Genomic DNA, 20,896 nt, shown 5'->3' with positions numbered 1-20,896 from the left:
TGCCATGAGCACTATTGATGAAATGAATGGATGAAGACCACCACCAGCCTGGGCACAGAGGAAGGAGGGGAGTTCTGAGTTTGGAGGCAGCTTCATGAGGGGTCTGCATTTACCTGGGCCTTTGGGGACACACCTGCCTCTGATACACCTGTGAGGGTAGCTGGGAAATAGGGCAGAACAGTGTGTGCCTCACTGGAGAATCTGTAAGACTCAAGGTGGGAGGGAAGACGTGTGGCAAGAGGGGGTTCCTGGGGAGCCTAAATTAGGATTTCAGTTCCATGTGCAGACACTGCCCCCGACCGATGCCCTGAGGAGGCCCCAGACTCATGCCCTGAGGGAACAAGTCCAGGCCTTGAGCACCCCTTGAAGCCACACGTCTCCTCCTCGGAGCAGGAGGTTGAGGGCGTGGCCATGGCTTCTCCTGGGGCCTCTCTGCTTCACTCTGAGGTGCACACTGCTAAGGCCTGGAATGAGCTGAGTCTGTGAATGACCAGTACTCCTGCATAGACCCCTAACTGTGGTGATTCACAAAGGCCAGAGAGATACTTCACAGTTTCCTGGGTAAACCCCTAACTGTGGTAATTCACAACGCCCAGAGAGGTACTTCACAGTTTCCTGGGTGGACCCCTGACTGTGGTAATTCACAAAGGCCACAGAGGTACTTCACAGTTTCCTGGGTGGACCCCGCACTGTGGTAATTCACAAAGGCCAGGCCAGAGAGGTACTTCACAGTTTGCCTCCTGCTGCATGCTGACCTCCTTAGCCTTGTGCCTGTCCATGCCAAAACACAGGTCCACAGACACCAACTGGCAAGATCAGGACTGTGTCAGTCGAGCCAGGACATCGAGTACACCCCAGCAGCAGAGTCTCGGGGACGCAGCCTCCTGGGCCCTGTATTCCAAACTCTGGGGTCTCTGATTATCCCATGGGATGGCTACTGCTTGAGGGCCCTGTGAGCGTCCGACAGCACAGGAGCCAGCGTGCTGTTTCTGAAGTTAGGATGTCTCTGAGAGAGGGCTGGCCCTGAGGCTGGCTGGGTCAGTGTGATGGGCTTGTCCACAGGCTGAGGCAGGGCTCTATTCTGCAGGACCTGTGGAAGTTTTGTATGCAGAATTTTTATAGCCATATGTGTAATTTTGTTATTGTGTGTGTGTGATCATGTGTGTGTGTGCCTGTATAAGAGAGGGACAGAGACAGAGAGAGAGAGAGATTGAGAGAGACAGGCACACACACAGAGACAGAGAGAGAGAAAAAATATGCCAGTGGGAAATATTCACTTCTGAGTCATTTATTGAAAAAAAAGGGTGAAAACCCCAAACCAGAGGAAAGTCAAGGAACAAATATCTGCTGTGCCAGCTGGGTGCAGGGATAGATCCACTGAAGAGTGGGAGAGGAGGTCAGAGCCACCTTCCTCATCACCCGGTTCGAGCAGAATAGATGAGTGGAGAGAGCCATGCAAAATCAGCCCCTAGAGAATGCGAGCGGCACCCGGGAAGATGCCTGCTGTACAGTGAGGAGGGTGTTAGGGTGTTGAGCATCCCCATGAGTCCAGTTTTCACAGGTAGGGGTACGAGGGTGTACCTCAGAGGTCACGGCAGCCTCCACATAGGGTAGCAGGCCACTGATGTCATTACCGTGGTCATTTCGTCTCCATCCTCCTCCGTCATTGCATTTAATATTCTCCCCTAATGTGTGCACATCAGAAGGAGAAGTGGGAGGCGCTCACCTTCAAGATGTCCTTTGTTCTCTGAGTGTCTCAGCTTGGCAGGATCACTTTCACCCTGGGCCGGCTTTTGTCTGTGAGCCACAGAGATAGCTGAAGGAGCCGCCTATGGAGCTCAAAATGGAAATCCCTTCCCTGCAGTCTTGGAACAAGCTCACTTCCTTTTGTAATCAGGGGGCTTGGAGGGTCCAAGTCCAATCTCTGAGAAATCAGGGCTGGAGGCAGGACCCTAGGCTGACAACAGTGAACAGAGCTTGGGTCCACCAGTGCAGCAGAGCAAAGCCAAGGCTGACCTCAGGGTTGCGGCGAGAGAAATTGAGGCACCGATTGCAGGGCAGCTCATGATTTAGACCTGGCCTCAATGGCTTACAGGTAGGAGTTTTTAAAGGGAGGGAGGCAGAGGTCACAGGCAAAGTCATAAATCAATAGGTGGAGGCTGTACATTGGCTTGACCTAAAAACGTGGAACATCTCCAAGTGGGGGCCCACAGGTCATAGATGGCTGGATTCAAAGATTTTTAAACTTGCGATTGTTTAAGGAGGCAAAGCCTTGTCTAAAAATTTTGTAGCCAGCAGAAAAGAATGCTAGGTTTAGCTGGTGGACGTGACCTCCTCTTGGGCCTCAGGAAGAAATTTAGAACCAAAACAGTGGTCAGAGTCCAGTCCTCAGCTCCCCCTTGTCTGAGGTCTGTGTGCCAGTGAACCCATTAGATGGGGTTCCACATTTCTGAAAAACAACCCAAGGACATATGCTAAGATGTTATCTTTAGTTTCTGTAGGAAACCAAATATTCTCGTGATTCTAACTTCCGTGGCCACCCTTTTAAGCCACTATAACCTTCTGGCTTCTCAAGTTGCTCTTTTACTTCTCAGGGCTAGCTGGGTACCTGGAAAGTCCCTTGAAGGAACTCAGAATTTTCCTTTATTTCCATGCTTGGGGGAAGGGGTAACTGGCAGGCCTGGCAGGCCCCAAGAGGGGTCCCTGCTCCATTGCAACCCCAGAACACGGATGATCTCAAGCTACCCCAACATCCCGGATGCTGGCCCAGGCAGCCACTGTCATCATAAGATGATGGAAAGGGTCACTGAGACAACAGTCTCCATGATTGATAATCCAAGGACATCTCACTCAGTTCTTCGTTACCAAGGCCCTGACCTCATTCCCAGCTCCCAGCTCTTACTCATTCTGAGATAGGCCTCTCGTTTTGGTTTGGACAAGCTTAGCACATCGCTCACCTGGAGAGGACGGGCTATGCATAAAATCGCAAATTCAATTTAATTAAATTCAACAAACATTTAATGAAGGCCTTTCCTCCACTTCATTCTACACATTACAGCAGAGTTTCATCATAAAGATATCTAACTGACCTGTGCTCCCTGAATGCAAAGAGGCGAGTCTGGAGGCAGGGCTAGAAGTAGGGTGCGATTTAAACAGGTGCTTCAATCCATGAGCATTTATCCAGAGGTAACAAATGCAATCATGCCTGAAAGAAATCAATGCATTTTAAGCAAACCCATGGAAAGAATGCATGAATGATTTTAATGTTTTCCTGCCAATGACTTGGGAGTAAAGGGTTGCTGAGGGGGATGGGCCGCCCCTGCCTGGTGATGATTTCTTCAATATTCTAGAAGGAAGAATCAGAGAAGGAACTGGCGGCCCTACACAAACACTGACTGAAAGGCAATTAGAAAACTTGATGCACTGGTCTCCAGAAGATGAGAATAATAATAACTGATAGAAAAGCCAGCAAGCTGGAACCCTTGTGAACAGGTTGCAGAGTTGCCTGCTGCGAAGCACCCTGAGAACCCCCTTGTGGAATCGAGTCCCTTGGTGCACTAAGAGAGACTGTGCTATTGTTGTACAGATGACACTAGCTATATCATGTGCAGGGTTGTAAACCCAACATAGTTTTTGATATCAGTTAAAAGAATGTAATTCTGCTATATTACATTGTTATAGTATTTTTATATTCCACATTACAAAATTACAAAGGCAATACTGACCCTATGCGATTTTCACTTTGTGCTCTCTGGAAACTACTTCCTGGCTGAGATGCATCTCCAGAGCGTAACCTGAGAGCTTGTAACACCGAGATACGATCTTCTTCCTCACCTGCATCATCAATTATTGCTATCAGCTCTGGCATCTGTCACTGTGCTGGTGTGGCGACCTGAACTCATGGTCAGCCATCAGCCCAGCCATCCTAAATTCCACGTCTCATTTCCACAAGCCCCACGCAGCCTCTGCTGCAGGCTCCAAAAGAAGGATGTGGGAAGTGGGTTCTGGCCGTGACTTTGCCAGGCACCTGGGAGGGGTGCCAGCCAGGACGTGAGTGTCCTGAGCAGCAACCCTGGGCTGGCTTCAGGCACATCTAGGTGATAGACCAGGGCATAAGCCTCTCATCTTTCCAGGGCTTTTGTGTCAGTGGCAACTGAGTTGGCTTGAGGGATCTAAAGTTACCCCCTGACCATCTCCAGTGGCACCCCCAAGCCCGGTGGCACCCATTCCGTCGCTGCCCGTCTCTTCGAGTCCTCTCATTCTCTGTGGCTGCTGGCCTGTCTGTTGGTTTGCCTGGGTGTTGTCTGCCCCCATGGAAGGAGGCAGACCTTACTTTCCCTTACTGACCACCGTTACCTCTGAGCTCAGAGCAGCTGGATCACTGGGCAGGTCTGCAACAACAATGCATGTGGTAAGTGGTTAGGAGTCAGCCCTCCATGGCCCTCTTCTGGGAGTGAGTGGCCAGTGGGGCCTGATGTTAGAGGCTCTGGAATTTGGATTGGTGCCGCTTCCTGAAGGCTGGGGAAGTGTCAAAGAAGGCTTTCTGGAGCAGGTATCAGCTGGCCTTGAAAGATAGGCAGGGTGTGGTCATGGGCCGTGCATGGGCTGAGAAGGGGCTCCCACTGCATCAGAGGCCAAGGTGCTTGGTCTGCCAGAGGCCCATCTCCTGGCAGGGTGTTGTTGGGAGGATTCAGAGTTGACCTTTGGCATTCCAGGGCAGCAGTACCCAAGGCGCTCTTCAGGGGTAGAAAACCTTAGTCTTATCAGATATGAGCCGGAAGAATGTGAGCTCTCTACCTGAAGGTTGAGTCTGGAAGGCCCTGAGTGAATGCTAGAAAAGCCTCAGCTTGTGGGGGTGGGTGGGCAGAGACTACGGGAGCTGCACCGCTGTGGCCGTTCTCTGCACCTGGGATTGCCAGAGGAGGGCACCAAAAAACACCCCTGGGCTGTGGAGAGGGCAGAAGCTGACCCCCGGGGCAGTCCAATTGCTCGAGACTTCTTTGTCATTTCACATTCTCCAGGGCCATTCTTCAGGAGCTGTGGCTTCAGTGTGAGTGGGAGATCTGGCCTGGTTCATCTTCCAAGAAGTTAAATTTGTTTCTCTAATGTTCAAGCTAAGATGTGTTTATTTTTCTCTTTGGTGCATAACTTAGAAGCAGCAAGTATTTTCTAGCTGCACCATAACAGTTAAGTTCTGCTCCTAGAACAACTGAGCTGAGTCTTAGTCCAGAGGAGATCTATTTCACAGGTGAGAGACAAGTGAAGATTGAGAGAGTTTAATTGCACAGGAAATCACAGAATGAAAAACAGTATCACCTGCCTTGGCGCTGTTCAAATCACGTTCTGCAAACATTTACCCCAAACATTCACTACGACCTTCCTTGGAGGCTCTGCTAACAGGGACCTTCTACAGACAAACACAGGCCTCCTCTCTTTCGCAGAGGAGACAAAAGTTTGCACTGTGCTGAGGATTCCGAGTAAATTTTCTAAGCCTGTCAGACTTGTCTCCATCAGAATGAGTCCATGTGGGCTGAAAACAGAGCTGCAGCTGCCACATAGCCAAGCGTGCTTCTTTTCTTGCAACCCTCTGCGGATTCCTGTGAGCATAGGGGCCTCTTTGTCAGGAGGGATGAAGAGGATAGATGGATGCTGTGGAAGAATATTGTGGGTCCAGCAGGCAGGAGCCTAATGGAACGCAAGGGCCCCGAGCCTCAGAGCCAGTCACTGAAACAGGCTGAGTCCCTCATCTGTGAGAAGGGCTCAAAGTGAGCTGTGGCAAGGTGCTTCTCAAATTGGAAGATGGATTGCTGGTTTCAATGGTGCGGGAGTCACATGGGTTAGGCTGTAGCTGCTCATGGTTATCTTTTCACCTCTTTGGGCTTCACGTTCCTAACATCTGTGTCCTAATCTCCCTGGACCTCACCAGGGGAGGCCGGTGCAGGCAGGCTTTCCAGGGAGCAGCACCAAGGTGTGTAGCGGGGAGGCTTGTATGGGGAGTGACGCCTGTGAACCAGACATGGAGACTGTGGGCTTGGGCAGAAGGAGCCTTCAGGACATTGGGCAACCTCTGGACACCTCTAAGCCCAGGGTGCTGGCGGGAATAGCTGGTCTGGGTGGGAAGGGGCAGGCCTGTGCCTCCGCCTGGCCTGGTCACTGGCCAGGGCTGCCCCAGGGAAAGCGGGCTGTGGCTCTAGCACTGAAGGCTGTCAGCGGCCATGCTCCTCACAGAGGGGCAGCCAGGATAGTGGGCTGCTTGTGGGACACGGGGCTGTGGTAGCAGAAGCTGCACACACTTGGTTGGTTCTTACCCTCAGGTAGGTTCAGGCAGGACTTCATCAGTCTGAAAATCTGCCTGTCAAGGATCCCTGGCAATTCCCTAGGGGCACCCCCCAGTGCGTGTGAGCACATTCACCAATGCCATCCTTTCCAGTGCTCCTCTCTGGTCCCGCCTGGGGGTCCCCCATGTCCAGCCAGGCATCTTCACTGGTCTAAGGTCCTTGTCCTGGCGGCCCCACTGACTCCCACTTGACCGGGGCATGCCGGTTCCCAAGGAGCTCCTTGACACAGGAGAAGAGCCCCAGGGCTGAGTGGCGAATCCTCTCTGGGTCTCTCTCACAACTCAGGCATGGCAGGGCTGTAGGCAGGCAGGGTGGGGAATGCACAGCCCCCAGCCAGGGAGCTCCTCATCATAGAGGTCCTCTTGCCCTCTGCCTGCAGGATCCTCGGGGGCAGCATCCCCAGCTCAGTCAACACAGCCAAGTCTGAATCCTGTGCAGATGCCAGCTGGTCTCTCTGCAGCCTTGGGAAGAAGGGGTCCATATACTGAACACCCACTGCCCATGTGTGTGCAGCTTGAACCCTTCATGGATCAAACACAGCATGGATGTGGGGCCCACAGATGCGGGTGGACAGACAGACAGACAGATGTGGGTGTGGCTGATGGCAGCTCTTCTGGGTGTTGGTAAGGGGCTTGGCAGTGTATCTGGACAGGGATGGGAGATGCATGAGCTTGGGTGGTGACTTGGGCTCCGTTGTGTCCCCTCAAAACTCATATGGTGGAATTCTAATCCCCAGGCCTCAGAATGTGACTATTTGGAGATAGAATCCTTAAAGACGTGGTTAAGTTAAAATGAGGTCACCAGGGGTGGGCCTGATCCTAGATGGCTGTGTGCTTATCAGAAGATTGGGACATGTACGCAGGAGACTCAGGAAGAGGGCAGCCACCCACAAGCCAAGGAGAGACCTCGGAAGAACCAGTCCTGCTGACAGCTGATCTGGGACTTCCAGGCTCCAGAACATGGGAAGTACATTTCCGTTGTCTAAGCCGCCTGGTCTGTGATGTTCGTTACGGCAGCCCTGGCAAAGCCACACAGGCAACTCCTCAAGAGGCCACTCTCCAGACGGGTGTGTTTTGGGTGTTTGGCCTCCTGGGGAGCTACTCGTACCTGAACTCTGACTCTGGCCTGTTGTGGACCAGCTCTGCCATCAGGCAAAGTACTGGTTCTCTGAGCCTCTGTTTCCCCATCTGTAGAGTGGGAAGGTTAAAACCCATATCCCCCTTGAGGGCTGTGGTGGGGCTTCAAAGGGAGAGCTTGTGATGGTGTCTGCTACACACTGGCAGTGCAGGGGCCCTCCAGACACACGGGCTGCCTTCCCTTTCTGGGACCAATCACCTTCCCCTCCAGAGAGAAGACCTGAGTTTCATCTTCCCAAGCTCAAAATATAATCTGATTGATTCTACCCAGCTGAGTGGTGGGGACCAAGAATCCCAATCAAGGGCAGTGGAGAGGGCGGGCAAGGCCTTCTCAGTCCCAGAACCTCACACCTGGAAAACTGGGAAGGCCACACCTCCATTTCCTTTGCAAACTAGCGGCCAGCAAAGCTAACTATGCCAGAAGGTGCGTGTGTGGAGTGGAGTGTGTAGCAGTTGAGACCACCAATCTGGGATTCGGGCGGAGCTGGAGCAAAGCTGAGATTTGTACCAGCTGTGTGACCTGGGACAATTTATTTCCTAACCTCTTTGAGCCTTGGCCTTCCATCTGGGACATGGGGATCACGAGGATACAGACCCCTGAGACCACCGTACAGATGAAGATGACATCATAGAATGCTCCATGATTGGCAGAACCCTCCCTCCGCACCATGCCCCTCTATCAGTGCCCCTCATCCTCAATGTGAGAATGGGCATGATGGGTCTGAAAAGGGAGAACCCCAGGCTGATTCTTCCTCTGCCAGCGCCCTACTGTCAAGATGATCTTCTCGGCCCATTAGAAACAAGGCCCTGCCTTACGTACCCTGCCATAGGCAATGCTCAACAGTGGCCATCTGAGTGACTGAAGGAGAGCGCTGTGGCCGCTCACTGATCCCCTTTAGGAAGGGAGACCATCGCCCAGGTGTGGGGGTCCTGGGGAGCACCTCCATCTCTCCCAAAGCTGACAGAGCTGCGTAGGCAGGAACCCGCCCCCACACAAGCACCACAGATATGTGCACATGGGGCCAGATGCAGCATTTGCAAAGTGTTGATGGAAGCCTGAGAACTGGAAGAGTGTCCCAGGAAGCTGGAAGAATGAATGAGTCTCCCTCAAGGTTGCTACTCTGGCCTGAGCAGCACCTCCCACCACAAACACATGCTCTTGGACTTGGGTGGTCTACGGCCTTGACCCCTTCCCTAGGCCCCTGCCCCTGCATTGAGGGCGCGGTGCCCATGGCCTTGGTTCTGCCCCTGCACTGTCTCCAGTGAGGTTGTGCACTTCTCCAGCTCTGCCCCCTTCCTCATCTTTGTTTCCCAAGGGCCCACTGTAGCCCTTGTACACAATAGGTGCTCAGCAATGCTTGTGAAACTGTCCTGGCATTCACAAGGGGGCATGGAATGCCTGCCCCGTGCATTGCACCTCTGGCTTTATTCCACAGTGATGCTGAGTGACTCAGAATGAACAAACCTGCAGATAACTAAATGAAAGCCCAAACCTCCCCTACAGCCTCTGATAGGCCTTGTCCAACCTCTTTTCAAATGCAGTCCTCTCCTAATTCATGTAGAAGGAGCAGAAGGAACCATACTTTTTCTGTGAGCAGTCGTGCTCTGTGGGTCTGATTTCTTGCCCACAGCTTGCACAATGCAGAGCACATGGTTCCCAGCCTCATCTAGACCACCATCCCGGAAAGGATGGCAAGGCTGCTGGTGATGCCTGTGCCCCACCCGGTTAGACCCTGGTCCTCGCCCACAGCGGAGTAGCTGGGAAGGAGGCTCACCCACCACCCAGGAGACTTGAGTCCCCACCTACCATGACCTGGCTGACTTGGGCTCATTCCTCTCCTGTGGGGCCTGTCTCTGTCCTCTGTGGATAAGACCCACAGCCCTTTCTGGATCAGAGGATTTCTGGGACTCAGTGACTGAGCGGCCCTGAAAGCTTTCTCTACAAAGCCCCAGGCCACCTCCAGTGGGAGGCAGTGGCCATTTCACTGCTCCTGTTTGATGGGAATCAGCACACTGCTGGTGAAGGCAGGTGGAAGTGTGCACCAGGCAGCTGAAGTGATGTTCGACTCCACAGGCTTCTTGCAGGGCTCAGAGGAGGGGGTGGCTCCCTTGTTCCCTTTCTCCACTTTCCCTTCCTCTCTTCAGCTAAACTATGATAGGGGTGTTCAGGGAAGTCCTTTCATAGGTCTGTGAGTGGATTCCAAGCTTACTTGGCAGGTTCCATCTGGATGGTGACTAATTCAGAGCCACTTTTCAAAATGTGAATGTTTGTGTTGTGAGTAACCAACCCGGGTGGAATAGTGCAGGGATTCTCAGCATTGCTGAGGTTTGGGGTCAGCTAGCTCTCTTTGTGGGGGTTGTCCTGGGCATTGTAGGATGTTGAGCAGCATCCCTGACTCTATCCATAAGAGGGGTAGTTGTGATAACCAAAAATGTCTCCCCAAACATTCACAAGTATCTCCCAGGAGTGGGTACAAAGCTGACACCGGTTGCTGATTCTATTTGCTGTCAGACCTCTGTTATCCCCGAGCATGGATGGCTCACCCAGGCCCCCGGCTGCATATTCTCCAGGCCTTTGCCTTCCACGTCAACCACTGCAGTCACCACTTTCTTGTGAACTGGACTCAGATGAAGCCTTGGGGTGGGGGTTGTGGGGAGGTCCCTTTCATGCCTGAAAGGCTGCACCTGCTCCGGGGGAAGCCACACATCAGGGCAGGGCATTTGGAAGAAGCCTGACATCCCCAGCTTCTCTCCTGGTGCAAATCATCCTGGTACCACATACTCCCCAAAGGGGATGCTCAGTGCAGGGGTGAACACAGCCTGCACTGAGACCCTCTTTGCTGGGGTCTCAGCGGGACGAGACTCAGGGAGTGCTGTGGCCATCTTGCAACCGTGATTATGGGGCACTGGCCTCACTGCTCCTTGGCTGAGCCCAAATCCGGGTTTGTCACCCGGGGGTGTTGAGGGAAACAGCCTTTTGAGTTCCATTTCAGATGTGGCACAGGACTGCTGAGAATATGAAACAGACCAGTTTGCAATGCACTCTTCAAATTTAAGATATGTATTATTTTTAAAGCACCTATTGTTTGAGAATCTACAAACGCCAGATGGAGAGTTGGTTTAGAATACCTGAAGAGCTGGATTCTTCTCTGGGAGTAATAACAAAGCTTTACATTTAATTCCTTCCCATTATTCCATTATGGACTAAAAAGAAGGGCAAGTGAGCCTCATCTCTTTTCTACGTTAAAGACTGTGGTGGGATAGTGACCATCCCTTGTCGCTAATGACAGAAGGACATCTTGAGAGAATAATGGAAGAGTCGCTCGCTGTGCTAAGCAGGAGAGGTCTCCCAGCTCCTCAGCAGCCCTTCCGCCAATTCAGCCCTCAGCAAGTCGGGGCCCACCTTAGCAGATTCTTCCTACTTAGCAGGAACACTTCATCAGCCAGTTCAGTAGAAAAATAGATGATGCTTAAAATGTGCCAACTCTATCCAGGGAATGAAGACATTAGCTCAGGTGACTTAGGGGAACTGGGACCATCTTGTTCCACCTGCAAATCTTGAATGGTTTAATAAAATAATTGGAACCCAAATATGGATGCTCTGGCATATATAGACAACAGATTCAAATCATTGTCCATTTTTTGGCTGTGTCATAAGTTGGACTCTGGTGTCCTGAGGTGTCATAAGCAAAGGCTGATCAGAATGGAGAGCGCTGGCTTGGAGCTGGGGGAAGTGGTGCAGATACCGTGATTTTGTGTCACCTCTCTCTTTCTTAAATATCTTATTTCTATCTCTGTCTATGTATATTCAAATTTGCCCCCAGTGACCTGGTTTCAGTAAAAAGCAAAGTGCAATCCCCTAGACACAGTAGGAGGTGCAGGGGATAAGCCCTCCAGGACCTATCTGGCACCTCCCAGAGCACCTCATTTTCACTCAGCCTTTACTGACTGAGTGTAGGCCCAGTTGTTGAATTCTCTCTGTCCTGGGCAAGCGCAGCCCTGGGCTCATTCTGTGCTGGAGCAAAGGGCATGCGGGTGACGGAGGAGATTGACGACATGCTCAGCTAAGGGGACACTTGTCTCGTAGTCTGCAGCCCAGATCCACCATGTTTGCCCCTGCATTGCTGGGGCAGGGGCAGTGGCACTGAGAAGCCAGGCCTGATGCCAGGGCAGCCACAGCACTTGTCCTGGATTGGAGCAGAGGCAGAAATCTCAAGAACAGGTCAAGGCAACTATTCAGATCTAATGTGGGAACTGTGTGCCTGTGGCTCCTTGTTGTGATATTTGAACACAACATGGTGACTGTAGACACACATTAGGCAATTGAGTTGCCTGCAATGAAAGTCAGAAAGGACCTTGGTCAGAATCAGGACAAAGACATTGTCCTTGTCGCTCCTAACTAATGGCTTTAGGGCCGTGATGGGAAGGCCCGGCAGTGGATGCTCCAGCTGTGCTGGAGTGTGTGAGCGAGCAAGCAAGCCTGCCCTGAGAGCCCTGGGAAAGAGCCTGCCTTGGGAGCCCTGCACACCAGCCCACCCTGGGACCCCACCCTGGGAGCTCTGTGCACTAGCCCACCCTGGGAGCCCTGTACAAGAGCCTACCCTGGGACCCCACCCTGGGAGCCCTGGGCACGGGTCCTCCCTGGGACCACCCCCCCTCCCGGGAGCCCTGGGCATGAGCCCACCCTGGGAGCCCTGGGTACGAGCCTGCTCTGGGAGCTGAGCACAGGTCTCGTGGATTCAGCTCTTCACATTCCTCATTCTCTCCTGTGGAGCTGCCAGCATGTGCAGCCATAGGCACTGTGGTGGGTCTGTGGCCTCTGCTGGACAGAAGTGACCAGAGACAGCTGTCAACAGTGCCTAGAGGCCCTTCAGGCTACCCTCAGACCAACGTGAGAGGCTCACGGTGGGCATCCTGGAGCGGGTGTGGGTCTGTGTCCCCAGTGTGAAGGCCAGGACTCAACCTTTCCTGCACGCTGCTGTCCTTGGGCCTTTAAAGGTTTCCTGAAAAAAGCTGTCCTACCCCATGGGCCTTCAAAACCAAATCAAACCACACCAAAACGAAACAAAACAAACAAAACACACCAAACACCATCAGCAGGAGCAGCAACAAAACCCAAAGGATTGAGCCCTTGGCCTTTCTCCTGGAGTAGAGGCTGGTTTCCCACTTTTCAGCTCAAGAAAATACAGGTTTCCCCACAGCATGAATCGCCCCTCTCCTGTTGTTTGGGTTTGGAAAGCCAAGCCCGGCCCCACCCACTGGGAATGTCTCTAGTCTGGTGCTTCTGCGTGGAGTCATCCACATTCACACCCGTCTGCTTCTTTTCCACCAGGTAGGTTTGGGCAAATCCTTAGAGCCCTCAGGGTCTTCCCCCGCCCAGGGGGGTCATCCCATTATGCATACCTGCCTGGAGCTCCATCCCAGCCACCCCCATCCCCTTGTGCATGGGGCAGCTGTACTCAACCTTCTCATTTCCCACCCTGTTCTGATGCCCCATGCCATGCCCGTCCCTCACTCCTGTGGGAAAGTGAAGCCACCCCTGTGGTCCTGAGTCCCGCTGCACCTTAAATGCAGGGTCAGCAGCTCCTGCCCCTTCTTCCTCTCCCCACAGGGAGCTTTGACTCTTTCCTGTGAGGCTCAGGCAGTTGACAAATTCATTACTCAATGGACATGCTTGTTTGGCAGGGAGCCCTCAGTCTGAAGACCTCCTTTGTCTTGGTCTAGCATCCACCATTACTTTCAAAGATGAGCAGAATATTCAGACAAGAGCCTCAGGGGAGTGAAACCCCCACCCCTTGGACAGCCAAGCTCACTCTGAAGAGCAGGGAGGAACTTCCAGGAGGTCACGGGGGTGGGGACAGCACAGCCACCGCCTGATGCAATTGATCCCAGTGTTATCAGCACAAAGTAGCGCATGGAGGCATCCCTAGGTAGGAGATGGGACGGCTGTGATTTCCAAGGGTTCAGCCTCAGCTCAGGCTATAAAGGGACAGTTAATGGCTTATTGGCAAATTGGATCAACAGATGTCAGCACTGATGGCAACTAATGCAGGTGGACTTTGAGGGAAAGAGGGAAGCACAAAAATGTCCTCATAAGGACAGGCATTTCAGCCCATCCACTAGGAGCCTCTAAGGGATGCTATGAAACCTCAGGGGTCAGATCCTGAACTTAGGTCACGGCTCTGGAGGGTGGCTTTGGCCATGGCCTCCGTGCACGCTCCACTTGACATTGGTATCCAGGGCATGGGAGTGGCGATTGGCAAGCAGGAAGATTGCTCCGCTGGTCATTTTAAACCCAGAGGCTGCTGCAGAGGGCAGGGCCACTTGCAGAGCTGGCTGAGTTTGAGGGAAGCCCTGTCCCAGCTCTGGAGGGGCTGGTCCTGGTGTCAGGGGGCCTGGTTCCTGGTTAGCTGTGTGGCCTGTCTGTGGCAGCTGCAGATGGCATGGTGACCAATGATGGGTCCTCCCCCACCATGTTCTCCTCAGAACCCACTGTAGTTCCCTGGGAATAGCTGGGGTATGACATCTGGTCAAGTCATTTGGGACACTTGCTGAAGTTGGGGATGCCTGGGGAGGCGGGGGTACCTGGGGAGGTAGGGATGCCTGCGGAGGTAGGGACGCCTGGGGAGGCGGGGGTACCTGGGGAGGTGGGGGTACCCGGGGAGGCGGGTATTCCTGGGGAGGAGGGGTACCTGGGGAGGCAGGGGTACCTGGGGAGGCGGGGATGCCTGGGGACGTGGGGGTACCTGGGGAGGTGGTGATGCCTGGGGAGGTGGGGGCACCTGGGATATGAGGATGCCTGGGGAGGTGGGGGGATGCCTCGGAAGGCAGGGACACCTGGGGAGGAGGTGGGGACACCTCCCTCCTGGGACTATTGGGAGGATGAGGCGAGGTCATGTGTTCCTGGCATAGCTGTGCTTAGTGGATGCCACGTGGGCCTAACAGCAATGATGCAGGTTTAGGGAGGTGCAGGTCGCTCCGGCACACTCGGAAGATGGCTCAGCTGACAGCAGTCACTAACACAACCACCAAAGATGACCTTCAGTCACTTTCCCTGCCGCCAAGGCCAAGCCAGTCGCAGGGCTGTCACACACTGTGCCTAGCTGCCAGGTGAGCTGCTCGGCCCCATGGCTGCCTTCAGCTGGCCCTGTTCCTTGTGCCCACCTAGGACCATTTACACCCATAGGTAAAGCCTTTGAGAAAGACTTGGCAGAGCTTGACAACTTAGGGCCAAGCCCCTGGGAACTGAGGCTTTTCCATCTGGAAATACAGAGGCTGGAATAAGATGGGCAGTTGATCTAGCAGAGGTAAAGTACCTGGCACTGAGGGCCTGGCTTAGGGTGACTGTGACAGTATAGACAGAAATGATGGGTGTGGATATACAGACAGGTTCTACTTCTTTACCACATCCAAAGGTATGCACCTTTGGGGAGCCTTTGAACTTAAAGTGGATCATTTCAGGACAAGTGCAAAGAAGCCCATTTGACACAATGACTTGTGATAAATGAACCCTGAGAGATGGAGGGACATTGACCAGCCATGGGACAGCCAGCCAAGGACATGATAGTAACCATGACCACCTGCTCCTGCCAGGCGTGATGGTCTGTGCCTCGTGCCTTCCCCAGCAACCCCACAAAATGGGCCTTATTGATTAGCCTCTCCAAGAGACGAAGCTCAAAATGGGCCTTATTGATTATCCTCTCCTAGAGACGAAGCTCAGAGAGGTGTAGACCTTTTTTTTTTTTTTTTTTTTTTTGATGGAGTCTTGCTCTGTCTGGCCCAGGCTGGAGTGCAGTGCCACAATCTCGGCTCACTATAACCTCCGCCTCCTGGGTTCAAGTGATACTCCTGCCTCAGCCTCCCGAGTAGCTGGGATTACAGGTGCCCACCACCATGCCTGGCTAATTTGTTGCATATTTAGTAGAGACAGGGATTTCACCATGCTGGTCAGGCTGGTTTCAAATTCCTGACCTCGTGATCCACCCTCCTCGGCATCCGAAAGTGCTGGGATTACAGGTGTGAGCCACTGTGCCCTACTGAGGTGTAAACCTTTACCCAAGATCACACAGCTAGAAAGTAGCACAGCTGGATTCAAATCCAGGTTGGTTTGAACCTAAACCTATGCCCTCCATGGCCAGTGACTCTAACTCCTACAGGGGTGTTGGCTGGCTTCCTTATCTACTTCTTAGGGTTAACATCCTACAGTGTTTGTGAACCACCCAGTAGAGACAAATGCTAGATGGATCTCAAATTTGACCCGAGAAGACAGTGCTAATAATTTTCAGAATATTAAATGTTCAAGGTCAAGGAGGAGAGTTTCAGGCAGAAGGATCAAACACAGAGACCTTAGTCCAGGGCAGTGGTTCTCAACCTTGGCTTCACGTTGCAGTTACAAGGCCACATCCTGACCCATCAAGTCAGCCTGGGGCTGACCCAGGCCTCAGGAATTTGCGAAGTGCTGCCGGTGGAGCCACCGTCCTGGAGAGGGGGTCTCTGTGTCCACTGAGGGGATTAGGACGATCATATTTACTGGTGGAAATTGAAGCGGCAGGGACTTTGGTTCTCCTTGAGACCCCCCTACTATTTCAGCAGTGGAGGCCTGGGTGGCTCTGCAGTTCCTTAAACCACAAGGGGAAAGTATAAATGAAACCCAACGACAGCTATTCATCAGAAAGAAAAGTCTTAAGCGAAAAAGCTAAAAGATAATTTTTTGTTAAGTAATGAACACTCGTAAAACAGCAATGAAATGGTATTAAAATGTCTGTGATTACTTATTTCTCAGCATTCATCTGGTAACTTAAGCAGCATGAAGCAAGAGTTGCACTTTAAAAAATGACAAGAAAATAGCTATTCATTTAGTCGACAGAGTAAGGCCCATCTCATTTCCAGGATCACTAGTTTCTGCTTATGACGGGGTGAGCATCCGCCAGCGCGGTGATTGGGAGGCGCCCCTGTGTCTTTAGGCTGAGGCAGTGCCCATAGCTGCAGTGCCTCGAGTTTCCGGAGCAACCGCGGGGCTCTTTCTTGAGGAGTCTTGGGAGGGGCGGTGGCCTGCCTCCCCATCCTAGATCAGCGAGGTCCCAAGAGTGCGTATTGCTGCGGGGTAGCTGTGGAGTGTAGACACGTTCCGGAGGTGGCTTGACATCCTGAGGCTGGGGTGGTGTGAAGGGAAAGAAAGAGGGGCAGGTCCCGGGCTTTGCTGGCTCTGCTTCTCAGGGTCAGGCCAATGGGTCTGCAGAGCAGTGCAGCGGGGCTCCTGCCAGCCGTGGTGTTGCCTCTTTCTTCCCAGCCCCATTCTCGTCTTGCAGGGAAGGCGTGTGGACTCCGGGGGGCACAAAGGACTCCAGCAGGGCCACAGACAGAAGAGTGATGTGTCCCTTGTCCTCTGCCTATTGCACCGTATTCCATAAAAAATAAACACTTTTTTGGACTGTTTGTATATTGCTAATGCGGTGGCACTCTGGGCACTGGCAGGCTGCAGAGAGCCGCGTTGCCATTCATCCACCAGAATCCATCCAGAGACAGCCTTGCGGGCTGGGATCTTTGGAGCTTTCCTTTGGAAGGATTAGCAGTGCCCGTCTGTCTGGTGCTCTACACAGTGCTGTGAACATGAAATTAAAGGATAAAAACAAAATAAATCCATGGGTAGGAAATCCCAGGGCTTCGTGGCATCATTTGGCAATCATTTGTACTGTACAGCATCATGCGGTATGCCTGCTTCCTCCACGTCCACACAGACCTGGCCCCGGGTGCTCCCCCTCCATTCGCAGGAAGCTCACAGGTGGTTGTTCTTGGAGAGGTAGGCGATGAGGGCCACGGCCACGCCCACATAGACGCCAGTCCCAATGGTGATGGACAGCACTGCCAGGAATAGGGCCCGCCGGGAGCTGGTGCTGGCCTGGTGCAAGTCCCCCTTGGCCACGGCTTTGTTGGTCTGCAGAGTTGGAGAAGAAAAAGGAAGTCATTGTAAGCAAGTCGGAACAAGCAGTGAGTGGAGGGCTCATCTACGGCTCCTGATTCAGAAAAAGGCATTGTTGATGCAGAGAAGGCTGAGGGGGAAACTGTGCTCACCCCTGCTATGACCAGGGCAGTTCTTTAACTGCAAGAAACAAATGTGGGGCTGGGGCCTGCTGCTGCTCCCCCACACCGCAGGGAAGACAGACTTCTTTTCTACTTGGCCCCAAGGGAATAAGAGAAGGCTGGAAGTAGCCCAACTGAGTTCCATCAGTGTGGGGTCTGGGATCTCCAGCACGAGTACTGAGGGATGGGCTAGATAAGACTCCTCTAGTGCTGCTCTTTCTACCCAAGAATGGTGTGCTTGTTTATTTGAATAACTCGTAATTTTCTAAAGCATATTTCTATCTATCTTATTGAATCTCTGCTACCCACTGGAGGTGTGCGGAAGGCAATGACAGTTCCCATTTCCCCGAGAGAAACTCCGGCATAAGATCATGAAAACCACTGGAGGACACCTGAAACCTTCCTCCTCAGCTGCCTCACCTGCTGTGGCCATGAGTCATTCACTTCCTGACCGTCCCCACCCTGGACATGGTTGGCGTTAGTAAAATTCATCCATCAATAAAATCATTTGATACAAAACTAACACCTATATTCCTGAGTGCTCAATGACATGACCAGGTGTTGGTGTAATCAAATTCATGATTCTTGGGGTCACGAGGAGATGGAAACATGGAGGTTTTGGAGGCCACCATGGAGGGATCACCGGAGTAAAATGGCTCATTTGGCAGATGGGGTGAGATGCTACCAAAGCACTGAGCCACGGGAGCCCACGTGATGCTGAGGAGGGTTGACTCCCAAGCCACCCGCGGGCCCCCTGTGGTCAGGACTACCCTGGCAGAATGTCCTAGCTCGTTCTCATGGCCGTCTCCAGAAAGCCAGATTTCTACCGGGTCCCATTTCCACCTAAGGTCAGTGACATTACTAGGTTTTATAGGTGAGTATGGGAGTCGGCATGTCATTCACTCAAACACACCAGCTAAAACACACCAACACCTCTGCAGTGGACCAGAAAGGCTCACACTCAGAGATGGCTCATGACGTGAACCTGCATCTTCCATGGTCTCTGAGCTCTGGAAGTCTGTGTCGTGTGGGGAAGGGATGCCTGCCGCTGCTTGGCTTCCTTCTCGCTCCTCTAACTTTCGGATCTTAAAAGCTAGTTTTTATTTTTTTCCTCCCCAACTTTTTGTCTTGGAACTGAGCTTCAGAGCTCACTATGGACAATTCTGGAGGGAGCAGAGATAAAGGGATGCAAAATGGGAAGCCTCCTAGGACAATGAATGAATAAATGAATGAATGAATGAAGTCGTGGTGAGCCAAGTCTGTTTCATGCAGCAGTGCTCCCACACACGCCCACATCTTCGAACACAATTTCCTGTAATTGCCTTTCCTTAGCGCTAACTGAAAGAGTCATTGCTCATTAGGGTCATGGCTTTGTGTCCCCGCCATGATCACCAGCCTTAGTGCCATCCCCAGGGCTATGCAAAGGGGTGCAGAGAGGAAGGTGGAGCTGCTACAGCTGACTGGGCACCTGCCAGCAGCATTCATTCCCTGACCCCTGTGGGAACACCCATGCCGGGCTTCCCGAGCTCATGAGGGCTCACACATCTGAGTACCCACTTGCGGAATAGTTGCCTTCCTGCTCACTTGTAAGCTCCCCAAGGCAGAGCCCATGTCTCTCTTGTGTGTTGTGGTCTCCCTGGGGCCTGGGCTGGGCTCTGGGGGGACAGGAGGAATGCGATACTTCTCTAACTGGGGCACAGTTCCAGTCTCTCTGGTGGTGTTGAGGAGGAAGGCAGTGGCACGGGGCTGACTCTTGACCTCAGTTCTGGCCCAACTCTGCAGGTTCTGCATATAGACGCACCAGAGCTCTCATGCTCAAGCTGGTGTGTCTGCTTGAGAATCACATTTGCTCTTTATTCTCATTCTCCACGCTGGGGGACCTTGATACGCCGGTTTATATGTTTGGCTCTAACAAGAAACCTAGGGAATGTGGTGTGTTAGGGGCCTGATCGCTGGAGATATGTCAGAAACAGCAAACAGATGCAGCCTTAGCAAGCAGGCTGCCTTCAGCAACGTCACTCGGCATCTGCGTGTCATAGAAGCCAGAGTTTCTGCAGTGCCCACTCCTGCAAGGCAGAGACGTCATTTACATACACAAAACACACAACGTGGTCTAATGAAGGTGATTTACCTGATATGAACCTTTTGTCTCAGAAAATGGATAACTGTGGCTGTGAAACAGCTTGCTCATTCCTTTGGCAGGGTGCAAATGGGAAGACACGTTTCCATCCTGACAGCTGCTGGACGAAAGCTCCTGGCTCTTTGACAAGATTTTTGGTGTGCATGAGGGCAGGGCAAACTGTCTTGAGTCCAAGAGTCTCTGAGCTGAAGGCAAGGCTTTGTGTGTAGGTGCAAAAAAGTTTGTCAAGATTGTTATTTCTTGTGGCTGGTTTTCCTTCCCTGTCTTTTGCCAACAGGTTGCAAGTGAAGTTTGTGACTTTATTGGCCTTTCATTGGAAAATAAGTGCAGGCGGTTAGAAAGTGCAGGTGACTGGCGAAGCCCCAAGCAGTGCCCAGTGCCTGCACCTTGTGCCAGCGGTGGGCTGGGGGTAGGGGCTCAGCAGGACCCAAAGACACTATTTCTGCACTGTAAGGGCTCTTCAGAGAAAGCGTTTCAGCTCACAGCAGAGGCACAGCCTTAACAGCCCAGGGCACAAGGACTCATCATTGAGAACGCAGGAAGCAGCTGGGCTCCATCGGCAGGGCTGGCTGCAGGGCATCAGACGTAGCCCCCAAGGGAGATGTCCTGCAACCTGAAACCCACCAGGCACTGAGCTCCTGCACAGCCCACACTGGAACATGATTTGTGCACTGCGGTTCTGGAATTAAAAGACCTGCTTTCTCTTCCCTAGTTGCAAAGATATGTAGAAGACCCGATTTTTAAATTGAAGAGTAAAAGTAAACTTGCGCCATAGCAATGACAGCTATGGAAGCACCCCCTTCCTGTCCCTCAAGTGCAGCGCTGTTCACACTGAGGAAATAAAAGTTACACAAGCAGAGGACGGACAGCCAGAACAAACGTGCTTTAGCTGAAGTTGTCACCGTTAGAACTGAGGTCCAGCCACCTCGTACCACCGCTGGGTCACACCTCCTTAGGTTGAATGGTCACTATCAAGTGGCCAAGTCAAAGGAACTGGCTGTCAAAGGACCGAGAGCTGTTGATCCACATGTAAAGGTCATGCTGGTCATGGCTTCGTGATGAGAAATGACCAGTTTGTGGAGGGACAAAGTCAATTTGCATTCCATGGGTGGTAGTGTTTAATGCTGAAACCCACCAGCAATTCTCTCTGGTGGAACCCCCCACCCTGCCCATTGGTCACATTTTGGGGAATGGTTCTATCT

The 20,896-nt window shown here is 52.5% G+C and overlaps 1 protein-coding gene across 9 annotated transcripts in view; it reads right to left on the bottom strand.

The window, feature by feature from the left end:
- Window positions 1-16,137: 16,137 nt before the first annotated feature.
- SYNDIG1 (synapse differentiation inducing 1) overlaps window positions 16,138-20,896 on the bottom strand; it is a 196,988-nt gene continuing 192,229 nt past the window's right edge. For 7 of the 9 annotated variants that reach the window (NM_001323606.2, NM_024893.3, XM_017028066.3 and 4 more), the window contains one exon: window positions 16,138-17,408. In NM_001323606.2, the coding sequence (NP_001310535.1) occupies window positions 17,250-17,408 (159 nt within the window). In that variant the 3' untranslated portion in view covers window positions 16,138-17,249. Of the gene's footprint in view, window positions 17,409-19,685; window positions 20,308-20,896 lie in introns of those variants that run through there. The other 2 variants (NR_147606.2, XM_047440499.1) reach the window with 2 other exon arrangements.

The sequence above is a fragment of the Homo sapiens genome, chromosome 20, assembly GCF_000001405.40.
Source record: "Homo sapiens chromosome 20, GRCh38.p14 Primary Assembly".
In the NCBI taxonomy this organism is placed as follows: Eukaryota; Metazoa; Chordata; class Mammalia; order Primates; family Hominidae; genus Homo; species Homo sapiens.
This window is presented reverse-complemented; position numbering and strand designations above follow the sequence as displayed.